General features: G+C 40.2%; 1 protein-coding gene across 9 annotated transcripts; it reads right to left on the bottom strand.

Moving 5' to 3' along the window:
• Positions 313 to 11446, bottom strand: C4BPB (complement component 4 binding protein beta). 9 transcript variants are annotated; one of them, XM_005273254.6, is made up of 8 exons: positions 11360 to 11446; positions 10945 to 11207; positions 10717 to 10824; positions 9825 to 9998; positions 8486 to 8662; positions 3691 to 3784; positions 2042 to 2156; positions 313 to 517 (listed from the first exon to the last, which is right to left on the bottom strand). In XM_005273254.6, exons 3-8 carry the CDS (start codon positions 10772 to 10774, stop codon positions 377 to 379), a joined length of 759 nt encoding a protein of 252 aa, XP_005273311.1. In that variant the 5' UTR covers positions 10775 to 10824; positions 10945 to 11207; positions 11360 to 11446; the 3' UTR covers positions 313 to 376. The 9 variants fall into 9 exon arrangements, with proteins under 9 accessions (XP_005273311.1, XP_024305232.1, XP_047285591.1 ...); XM_024449464.2 differs by having other exon boundaries at positions 9825 to 9995; XM_047429635.1 differs by having other exon boundaries at positions 9825 to 9995; positions 10717 to 11207.

Genomic DNA, 12437 nt, shown 5'->3' with positions numbered 1-12437 from the left:
GTTGCGGTTAGTTTTGGTTTCATAATTCATGGTCTCATGTTAAAATACGAGTTACTCTCTCGGCTGAGATCAGAGTTTTCCATTCTCCTTACAGACTGGAAATTAAGCCCTCTATTCTCCAATAATATGTTGCTAATTCTGGCCTTAGACAACCACTACATTTGGCCTTTTCACATTCTGAGAACAACACACACACACACACACACACACATACACACACACACACACACACACACACACACACACACACATGGTGCATTATACAACTGCTGTTGGCAATTTCAGCCCAATAAGAGGTAAATCTGAAACCAATTTCAGAACCAAGAAGAAAATTTATTCATAGGTTTATTTCTATTACATCTGCTCAGCTGTAGTGTTACAACAATTTTGCCTTCAACTCAGCTTTCTTCAGCTCCAGAGAATATTTTAGCTCCTCCATTGTCATGCCACTTTCCTTTAATTGTTGCATAAAGTTCTCCATGGCTTCGCAGAGGTTCTTACTCTCCTGAAAGGCAAGCTGAAGAAAGAAAATTTTTCACAAGTTACAACATAAGGACTGAGACCCAGCTATATACTCTGAAGCCAGTGAGCAGCAGTTAGCTCTCTGAATGGGGGCTCAGAACCAGGCTAGCTTAAGTAAAGATTTGGGTTTTCAACATGGCAAATCATTTATATTTTCTGGCTTAAATATACTTATTAATATTATCCCAGTAATAAATATGAACTAAAAGAAGAATCTCAATGAAAATGGATCTGTTCAGTGTTGTTTGTTTAGTTTTGGAGCCTAGAAGAATTTTAGAGACTTTTCCAATTCTCACGCATTGTGCTTATGTGCTTTGCTCTATAACAGGGATCCCCAACCCCAGGGCCACAGACCGGTACCGGTCCACGGACTATTAGGAACTGGGCCACACAGCAGAAAGTGAGCAGCGGGCAGGCAAGCAAAGCTTCAGCTGTATTTATAGCCACTCTGCTTTGCTCACATTGCTGCCTGAGCTCCACCTCCTGTCAGGTCAGAGGTGGCATTAGATTCTCATAAGAGCGTGAAACCTATTGTGAACTGCTCATGCGAGGGATCTAGGTTGACCCCTCTTTATGAGAGTCTAATGCCTGGTAACCTGTCACTGTCTCCCATCACTCCCAGATGAGAATCTAGTGCCTGATGATCTGTCACTGTCTCCCATCACTCCCAGATGAGAATCTAATGCCTGATGATCTGTCACTGTCTCCCATCACTCCCAGATGAGAATCTAATGCCTGATGATCTGTCACTGTCTCCCATCACTCCCAGATGAGAATCTAATGCCTGATGATCTGTCACTGTCTCCCATCACTCCCAGATGAGATTCTAATGCCTGATGATCTGTCACTGTCTCTCATCATTCCCAGATGAGATTCTAATGTGTGATGATCTGTCACTGTCTCTCATCACTCCCAGATGAGAATCTAATGCCTGATGATCTGTCACTGTTTCCCAACACTCCCAGATGAGAATCTAATGCCTGATAATCTGTCAGTTTCCCATCACTCCTAACTAGATGGGACCCTCTAGTTGCAGGAAAACAAGCTCAGGGCTCCCACTGATTCTACATTATGGTGAGTTATATAATCATTTTATTATATATTACAATGTAATAATAATAGAAATAAAGTACACAATAAATGTAATGCATCTGAATCATCCCCAAACCATCCCCACTCTCCCCACCCCCATCCGTGGAAAAGTCATCTTCCATGATACCCATCCCTGGTGCCAAAAAGGTTGGGAACCACTGCTCTATAAGGCACATGAGACAACAACTTCTACCAACAGGGTCTCATGAGGTATTTGTGATGATGGTAGTGAATGGGAACTTCCAACTTCCATTTATAAAAATGTGAGTTAATAGTTTATGAGTCCCTTCTACAGCCAGGCCAAGGCCAACCCATTCAAAAGCAAAATGTCCCACATTAAACAGATATATACTGAGCATATGCCAGGAGTGATGCCAGGCCCTGGAGATCCAGCTGTGAACAAGACAGATATGAGCCTCCTACTTACAAGTGCCTTCTCACACTCTGGTTTGGGAGCTTCCTGGATCAACTTGCAGACTGGAAGTGCACTGCTCCACTCCCCATCAACGCATTGCTGCTCCTGCACGCCCACTAAGTAGTACCTGAACAGAAATTAGAACAAGGCTTAGCTTTTCCACTTTCTGAATTGGGTAATGGAGACTGGTTTTGTGTAGTTGTATTTCAGTATTTCATGCTGTGATGGAATCCACCTCCCTGCCCTTGAGCCTCAATGCATGCTTAAGTTATCTCGGTATTACAAAGCAGTTCAAAGTAAAACCATTTTCCTGGAGGTAGGAGAGGACCCAAGTGATGAGTCAACCCATAAAACATAGAGAAGTGAGAAATTCTGAATCAGGTGTTTACACACCCAGGTTTTGGGTGGGGAGAGTGATAGAAGCACTTTATCATTCAATAACCTAAAAAGGCATCTGGCATCTAAGCTCTAAAAAGGAGTAGAAAATGAGAGACACCTGCAAATAAATCTTAGCGAAGGGGCTAAAAAGGAGCAATTGCTTTTCATCAGAAAAATATGAGAGTTGCCTGCAAAGTGCATTGAAGGTATATAACGAGATCGAAATGCCAGTGAGGCCACATGACTCTGAGTTAATTAGGGGGCTTTAAGGGTCTATACACTAAGTCTTTATATTTCTGCACTTCTATGTTTGTTTTTTAGTATTTATATTCTCTGATTTTTTTTTTTTTTTTTTTTTAGAAAAACATACATTTTAGGCCAGGCACAGTGATTCATGTTTGTAATTCCAGCACTTTCCAGGACTTTGGGAAACCAAGGTGGGAGGATCACTTGAGCTCAGGAGTTCAAGACCAGCCTGAGCAACATAGGGAGACCCTGTCTCTACAAAACCTTAAAAAATTAGCCAAGCGTGGTGACCCATGCCTGTAGTCCCAGCTATTAGAGAGGCTGAGGTGGGAGGATCTCGTGAGCCTAGGAGGCAGAGGTTGCAGTGAGCTATGAGTACACCACTGCACTCCAGCCTGGGTGACAGAGGGAGACACTGTCTCAAAAATAACAACAACAAAAAAACAAAAAACCCATACATTTTATTTATTTATTTATTTTAAAACAGAGTATCACTTTTCCACCTGGGTTAAAGTGCAGTGGTGCCATCTAGGCTCACTGCAACCTCCGCCTCCTGGGTTCAAGCGATTCTCATGCCTCAGCCTCCTGAGTAGCTGGGATTACAGGAGTGTGCCACCACGCCCAGCTAATTTTTGTATTTTTAGTAGAGACAAGGGTTTTGCCATGTTGGCCAGGCTGGTCTTGATCTCCTGGCCTCAAGCAAACCGCCTGCCTTAGCATCCCAAAGTGCTGGGATTACAGGTGTGAGCCATCACGCCCAGCCAAATCCATTCATTTTAAATAATTTATCTTGTCTTGGCGGAGAGGAAAAAGAGATACTTGCATTGGGGTAAGTAGGATACTTTAGTAGGATCAGTCTGTCTTCTAGGGATTGAGGAGAGCTAGCAGAGGGCCAAAGCAGCTCTCAAAATCAGAATGAGCTTAGAATCCTGCAGCAGTAGGAAATCAGATGACCAGGTGGACACAGACTGGGTTATTCCCCAAAACAATGCTGCCAAGGGGCAAGATCTGGCATTTGACAGGCTGTGTTCACTTACCTGTCTTCACAGTAATAACTAATGGTGGATCCTAAGGTGAAGTTATTTCCTTCAAAATAGCCATGAACTGGATTCCCAGGAGGGTCACAGTCCCCTGAGAGAAACGAGTATAGAAGTCATAGTTATGAGGGCCAGGCACGCTCAATGAACAGCACCCCTAATTGCAGCTGTTTATGCCAGCACCTGACAGCCTCAGAGCAACACCTGCGCCAGCACCTGACATCCTCACAGCAACACCTGCGGGATCTGGAAACCTGTTCTTCATTCATTTCCTTCTCTTCTAAATCATATTTGTCCATGGGAAAGAGCTTTCCCCCAGCCCATCTTCTGAGTTAGTAGGGATTTGGGAGTATTATCTGACAGCAGGAGCTCAAGGAAAGAAATTTTAAGTTGTAGAGAAGCTAATTGTTAATGTACAAGAAAAGAAAAATTGGGCCATAGGTGAAGGCTGAAGAAATAACTCCCTGAGAGAGGAGATGAAGCGTGTGAGCTCAAGTGGAAGCTGACATCCCCTGTGGATAAGAGTTGTGAAACATGAGTGTATTAGTCCATCTCACATTGTGATACAGAAATACCTGAGACTGGGTAATTTATAAAGAAAAGAGGTTTAATTGGCTCACAGTTCTGCAGGCTGTACAGGAAACATGGTGCTGGCATCTGCTCGGCTTCTGGGGAGGCCTCGGAAAACTTACAATCATGGCAGAAGGCAAAGGGGGAGGGAGGCATCTCACATAACAGGTGCAGGAACGAGAGAGGGAGGAGGCGTTACACACTTTTAAACAACCAGATCTCATGAGAACTCACTCGCTGTCATGAGGACAGTACCTAGGGAGATGGTGCTAGACCATTCATGAGAAATCCACCCGCATGATCCAGTCACCTCCCACCAAGCACCACCTCCAACACTGGAGATTACAATTCAATATGAGATTTGAGCAGGAACACACATCCAAACTATATCAAAGAGAGTATCAGAAAAAGGGGAGAAGGTGGGAGCAGTGGCTCACACCTGTAATCCCAGCACTTTGGGAGGCTGAAGGGGGTGGATCACCTGAGGTCAGGAATTTGAGACCAGCCTGGCCAACATGGTGAAACCCAGTCTCTACTAAAAATACAAAAATTAGCCCAGCGTGGGTGCGCACCTGTAATCCCAGCTACTTGGGAGGCTGAGGCATGAGAACTGCTTGAACCTGGGAGGTGGAGGTTGCAGTGAGCCAAGATTCTGCCACTGCACTCCAGCCTGGGAAACAGAGCAAGACTCTGTCTCAAAAGAAAAAGAAATAGGGGAGAACATGGCTGGAAGGGAAGAGGACGAGTCTGTGGAACTGTGGAAAGAAAGCAGGATGACGTGTTAGGAGTTGTGAGTCTTGATACTGGCTCTTCCACTAGCTATGTAGCACTAAAGCCATTTTGCTCCTCTTGGCTTCCTTCCTAATATTATCAGATAAGCAGGTTAAATAATATCATCTCTAAGGTCCCAGTCAGCTCTGAGACCACAGGACACTAAACATGTCGATCAAAAATAGTGGCTAACAATGATTATGTGGGTGTATATTTACTGAAACATAAAAATCTTCTAAACAAATGGTTGAGTAAAAACAGCAGATGATGAAAGAGCATGTATAATATTATTTTTGTAAATCATGGTTACACATACATAAGCACAGGAAAAAAGTATGGAAAGTTATATGCCAAAATACTTAATGCCCTTATCCTTAGATGGCTTGTATGTAATTGGTTTCGTCTTTTATTTTCTATATTTTTCTACAACAAAGGTGTATTAATATTACTTATGCAGTTAATACACTGTAATTTTTTAAAGCTCAGAGACTGAGCTCAAAGGCTGAATAGAGGAAAGCAAGAAGAATTTCCAGGAGTTGTTTGGGGGATTCCAGTCCACCAGAGTTCTGGTAACTTTTATGAGTACAATTTTGAACGGAAGGAGATGATGTGGTAAACAGAATAAACAGAAAGAATCTGGTTTATTCAGAAACCTAGGGAGCTCATCCTAGATTTAGATAATGAAGTGACATAAAAAGACAGGGATCCTGTGGTTAAGAGCTAGGATAGAAACTACTGAATTAAAAGAGAGTAAACCAGAAAATGTTTGGAAGAAATAAGGAAATACTTTAAACTTGTGTCAAGCTAATGACATAAAATGCTATTATATGCATGTAATTTAACTGTATATATAATAGTATGTATGCAAGTTTTAAATAACCCCAAATTCCCTCATGTAAGAGCATATATAGTTTGTGCTCTTAAACTGCCTGTCTTTATTATTTCTTTTTCATTTTTTTTTTTTTAGAGACAGGCCTCACTGTGTTGTCTAGGCTGGCCTCAAATTTCTGGACTCAAGCTATCCTCCTGCCTTAGCTTCCCAAGTAGCTGGGACTGCAGGTATGCACTGCCACGCCTGGCTTTTATTATTTTAGTAGCTACTGCCAAAATACATCCAAATAGTGATAGCACTTTACACTCTCACTGACGTAAATGGCTATTTCCTCAGGTCATGAATAGTATTAAATTAAATCCATCTTTTCATTTTTTGCTAATCTGATCAGTAAAAGATGTATATCTAATTTTAATTTCCAGTTCTATAATCATTTGTAATGTTCAATATCCTTTCATATAATCAGGAGATAGAAGTGCTGTTTAGGGCCATTATTTTGGAATTGCCTGTCCTTACCCAACTGCTTATTTTCTATTGGGTTGTTTTTTTCCTTACTGATCTCTAGGGGATCTTTGTTTATTAAAAACATTAACTCTTTAACCATCAAATATGTTGCAAATACTTTATTCAATATGATGTCTTTTAGTATGTAGAAGTTTTTCTTTTAAAAATTTAATTAAATCTGCCCATTTTCTTCCTTTATGACTTCCTGAGTTTTATGAAACTGCTTAGGAAGGCTTTCCCCATCCCAATGTAATAAATATATTATCTCATGTTTTCTTTTAATGATTTAATAATTTTGCTTTCTATAGTTATATATTTAAAATCCATTTGGAATGTATTATGAATATGGTGTGAGCTAGAGCCCTAACTTTGTCTTCTTCCAAATAGATAATTATTCCATCACTATTGAATAGACTTTTCCTCCTGACTTAATCTGTTCTACTTATATGTACCTATACTTTGCTATTTTAATGATATATAATTTGTAGTACCTACAGTTTGCCATATTGTGCTCATAGTAACTTTGTAGTATTTTTTACTATCTAATACGGCAAGTATTCCTTTCCCTTTGATCCAGTCAAATGTATACATCATTCATCATTTTCCCAAAAATATTTACAATGTTAGATGTGTATCCTACTGGATGAGATTCTTTAATTAATGTTTTTTTCATATTTTTGAATTTAAAATCCTGGGAGGCATTGCACTGTAATAGTAAGTCTGCCCATCCAGGATCATGCATGTCTTTTCTTTCATTCAAGTCTTATTTTATATCTTTCAGTAAATTTTCATATAGATCTTGTGAATCGAATTATTTTTACATTTCAAATTCAACTAACAATTATTAATAGAAAATGAAAACATTGATTTTTTTCAATATTTATTTTGTGTCCAAGTATATATTAAATATTTTAGTAGACTTTCTTGGATATTTGAAGTATATTCTGCAAATAATAGCATCCTGTGATCCAGCAATCATTTTAGGAATCTATCCTATAGAAATAGCAATGTAGTAGCCTGGTGCGGTGGCTCACGCCTGTAATCCCAGCACTTTAGGAGGCCGAGGTGGGTGGATCACGAGATCAGGAGTTCAAGACCAGTCTGGCCAAGATGGTGAAACCCCGTCTCTACTAAAAATACAAAAATTAGCTGGGCGTGGTGGCAGGCACCTGTAACCCAGCTACTCGGGAGGCTGAGGCAGCAGAATCGCTAGAACCTGGGCAGCAGAGGTTGCAGTGAGCCGAGATCACACCACTGCACTCCAGCCTGGGCAATAGAGTAAGACTCCATCTCAAAAAAAAAAAAAAAAGAAAGAAAGAAATAACAACGTAGACATAAGAATATGTGTGTGTATAAAATATTCATTTCAGCATTGTTCCAAATATAAAAAATATTAAAATAATATGGGAGCCATATAATAAATTATGACATACACATATGCAGTTATTAAATAGCGGGCAATAGAGCTACATGGACTGGTGTAGGAAAGTGGCCATGTATATAGTTACATGAAAAAAAGCAATTTAAAAATATGTATAGCAAGTCCCTTTTCTATAGGTATATTTATATATATACATACACACAAAATGGCATTTAATGCTTATTTAATTTAAATATTTTATTTGTGTGTGTTTGTTTTAAATGTCTGTATAAACATAAGAAAAAGTCATGAAATAAACACACCCAATTTACTAACTCTGAGAGATATGAATTGTAGTGATAGAAAGAGGGTCTTTAGCCTCTTGTAGATAATTTTGCAATAGATGAGTTATGATCTTTTTCCCGTTTTGTGTTTACTTTTCAAACAAAGTCACTGTCTTGAAATTAAGAAATAAAATAGTCGATGCTCCAAACTACCCTACATTACACCTAGTAGGACAGGACCCCTATCTGAGAAGGAAAAATGTGTGCTTTGGATGCTGTTCATTGCAATGGAATGTATTCTCTTGAGGTGAGATTTGGTTCTGTGAGCTCCACTTGTTTCATGGCTGTCTGCTAGATCTTAAGCCTGTCTCTGATACAAAAAAAGAGAAAAGCATCCCAGGGATGTGGCAAATGTCTAAGTTTAGACTACTAATCAGTATTTTGGGGATCCTTGATGGTTTCTCTTGTACTTACTACTTTTGCAGATGGGAAAGGGAGGTGCCCAGGTGTGGTCCTCTAGACACTGGCTCCGATTGCTGCCCTTGAGGATGTAGTGGTCATTGCACATAAACGTGATTTTGTCACTTACATTCACAGGCCCTGAAGAACTGAACTCTCCATTCACCAGCACAGGATCAGGACAGTGGCCCACTGAAGAAGAAAATAAGCAATAAGCTGAAAGGGCAAAGCTGAAGCCCAACACAGCAAAGGCCAGACCTCCTCAGTCTTCAGTGAGAAAACAGCAAATTAGAGTTAATACTGCACATTTTTAATTGAGTGAAGTACATGGTACTACCATATCAATGCAGAATGAAAAAAAGAGGAGATTGACCTAAGTACAGCCCAAAAGAGCTTTGTCATGCACAAGAACAACATGAATTGGCAACTGAAAGTAATTAATCACGTAACTGAAAGTTACCAATCGTATGTTTATTGTACTGTTATATTAAGCATGGCTCAAAATAGTGAGACTATGTTTGAAGCAAGTATTTCCTTCCCTTTCAACCAGCCAAATATACACTTACTTAGCATTTTTTATTTTGTTGTGCTTTTTCCCATGGCATGGAAAAAAACAGGAGAGAATGCACAGGGATATATGAGTTTGGTTATATGAATGAAGGATAATAATATCGGTGTGCTCTACTCTAGGTATACAAGAGAACTAATGCAACTATTCTTTAAAAAATAATAGTAATAAATAGGATATGGATTAATTATTCCCCATCTCCACAGAGGATACCAGAAATGAGTTTTGTGACCTTGAGCAAGTCAGCTGGATCTCAATTATCACATTGGTAAACTGAGAATACAAACTATTCCCAGTTCAAAAGTTATATGATAGGTGAAATAAAATGATACAATGCACTTACTTCAAAATAATAAAGAGGATATACATGAAACAAGATTATCATGTGTGGATAATTGATGAAATTATGTGATGAGTCTATATGAGTGAATTTGACTCTTCTGTCGTTTGTATACATTTTAAATTTTCCATAACATAAACATTTTTAAAGCAATATAAGGTTAAACAAATTATAGCAAAAAAAAATTAGTTCTAATATCTGGAAGAAATTATTTCTTTCCCATAGAGGGAATTGATTCTGTTAATTCAACTGAATTAATACTGATCAAGATCTGATCATAGAGCTTCCAAGAGAAGCTCCTCCACTGGAGTGCTTTAAAAGAGGTCTCCTAGAAATTGAGAATTTTTGTTTTCTTATAAAGTTTTACCACAGCCTATAGGAAGTAGGATGTGAAGGAGTAAAACAGGATATCAATATGGGCAAAGATACAGAAAGATCTAACTTACAGCGGCACTCAGTAGTGGTGTTATCCCACTCCTTAGAGGCATTGCAAAAAAGGGTCTTCTTTCCTACCAGGTGGTAGCCCTTGATACAAACGTAAGTCCCCAGAATCTGTCCTTCCACCTCCTTTGCGACAAATATGCTATTGTCCACTGGAGGAAGCTCTGGACAGTGCTCTGCTGGAAGAAAAAAGAAAACAGATTCACTTGGCATATCATGTGCTGTCAGAGAACCCTTATTAGATTTCCCCATTCTCATGTCTTTTTGCTGGATTATTGATCCTGATTCCTGTGCTCTTCCCAAGTACTCTGTATTCTACTCCCAAGTAGCCGGGACTACAGGCACCCGCCACCACGCCCAGCTAATTTTTTGTATTTTCAGCAGAGACGGGGTTTCACTGTCTTAGCCAGGATGGTCTCGATCTCTTGACCTCGTGATCCGCCCACCTCGGCCTCTCAAAGTGCCGGGATTACAGGCTTGAGCCGCTGCGCCCGGCCGGAATTCCGAAGTTTTATTTTCAAAAGTATAACAGGAATTTTACTCAAATTCAACCACAAGTTGTCCACTTCTAAACAAATAGTCCCCTACACAAATAGCGATCCTGGAGTTTATAACAAGTAAGACCTCCCAGGATTTTGAAATTGGTACTCTTTTTGCTCCCAGAACAGAAAGGGAAAGTAAAAAAACAGTAACCACCCACTTCAGAGATCAGGGTTATCATTAAATGTACACTAAGCTCCTATTGAGTGCAGAGCATTAGGCCAATTTGAGATTTTTCAATAGAAGAATAAAGATATTATAAATGTAAACTTCCTTAAAGCCCTAGACAGAGTTCCTCAAAACACCGCAAAAGGACACCAAATGCCTGTAAGCTGAGTTGAAGGAAAGCATACGTACCATCTGAAGCAGAAACTCGCCACGCAACCATAAGACAGCACGCACACCAAAAAAACATCTGGTGATCAAAGTCCTCTCCCCAGGCTGGAATTCACCCAGCTCAGACACCTGGTTTGAAAAAAAATAGATCTTCTAACACTGCTTAAGACCAACCTAACCACCTCCTCTCTAGAGAAGAGGTTATATTGATTTACCCTCCCTGGAGAAAATGAAAAGAAAAAATCTTACGACAGGAAATCAGAACAGCTGTAAGGAAGCTGGTATAGGGAGGAACTGCAAAAATACAAAGGGATGGTAAAAGAGTTGCCAGGTTTAAAACTCAGTTTCAGAAATTTCCTGGTTTCTGGGAATGCAAATCCAGTTGACCAGTCTTTTTGAAACGCAGGCTTATCCTTCCCCAACAAACATGGGCCAAATGGTCTTGCCATGACCTTGACTTCTGTCAATAGTTGCCAATGTTTACAGTCCAACTTCTGTAACTCTGGCCAGCACTGGGGAAAGAGAACGGGCTGTCAATCCCTGGTTCTTGCCCAGGTAGAACACAATTTTGAATGCTACCTCATCCTCCTTTCCTGAATACCAGATATCCTAAGGCTGTAAGCAGCACTGAAGACGAAAGCTCAAGGAAGTAAACTAACCTTACCTGTCTCTGTCCCTCCAGAGTTAGGGCTTCCCAGCAAGGAACTGGTCTTAACTGACTCCAAAGCTGAGAGCTCCAAAGTCCTGCAGTGACACATTGTTCTCGCTTGCCAGGCCTGTACCCAGGCTTCCTACTTTGTGGCTCTTCCAGGGACAGGATTTGGCCTGAGTCCAGAGTTAACCAAATGAGTAAAGAGAGAGGTGAGGAGAATGCTTTGGTCTCAGGAATTAAGGCATGTAAAATTGTTTTGAGGGATCCCATATCATCTTGCTTGTGACTACTATAACCCTTGGTTGGTTCTCTGTGCTGTAATTATGAAACTGGGGAAAAATTCCTACAAAATTTCAGGTTTTAATAGAATAATAAAGCATTAAGGACACAGTAAGGTTGCAAATGTTCTTCTCTTCTCCATCCATTACTACTGTTTGTGATGATTAATCTATGTCTTTCTCCTGAAAGGAATCAGGATATGCCACCCCCAAATATTTGGCGTTAAGATTCTTTTAAGCTGAAGATATTTGAGATTCAGTGATATGGAAAGGAACAGAGATTTTGGGGGCTTTCCTTATCTGACTAAAGGCAGCAACCTTGGAGATAAGGTTGCCATAAATTCCTTTTCAGGGTAGGTCTATCCTGGAGGGGAGAGCATGAGTAAAACATATTTCAAATTCCTTCTCCAGAGAAATTTCATGGCCTTGAAGGAGACAGAAAGAACACTCGTACTTATATACACAAACATTATCACAAAACTTTCTAATTTCCTACTTTTCCCCTGAAAACCCACTTGCCTTTCCAAAAAATAATCTGTTTTCTTTTTTGTTTGAGATGGTGTCTTGGCATGATCTTGGCTCACTGCAACCTCCACCTGCCAGGTTCAGGCCATTCTTGTGCCTCAGTCTCCCGAGTAGCTGAGATTACAGGCATGCGCTACCACGCCTGGCTAATTTTTGTATTTTTAGTAGAGATGGGGTTTCACCATGTTGGCCAAACTGGTCTTGAACTCCTGACCTCAAATGATCCACCCGCCTTGGCCTCCCAAAGTGCTGGGATTATAGGCATGAGCCACCGCACCCGGCCAATA

This window comes from Homo sapiens, chromosome 1 (genome assembly GCF_000001405.40).
Source record: "Homo sapiens chromosome 1, GRCh38.p14 Primary Assembly".
NCBI lineage: Eukaryota > Metazoa > Chordata > Mammalia > Primates > Hominidae > Homo > Homo sapiens.
The sequence above is the reverse complement of the archived record's forward strand: the minus strand, read 5'-3'. Positions and strand labels throughout refer to the sequence as shown.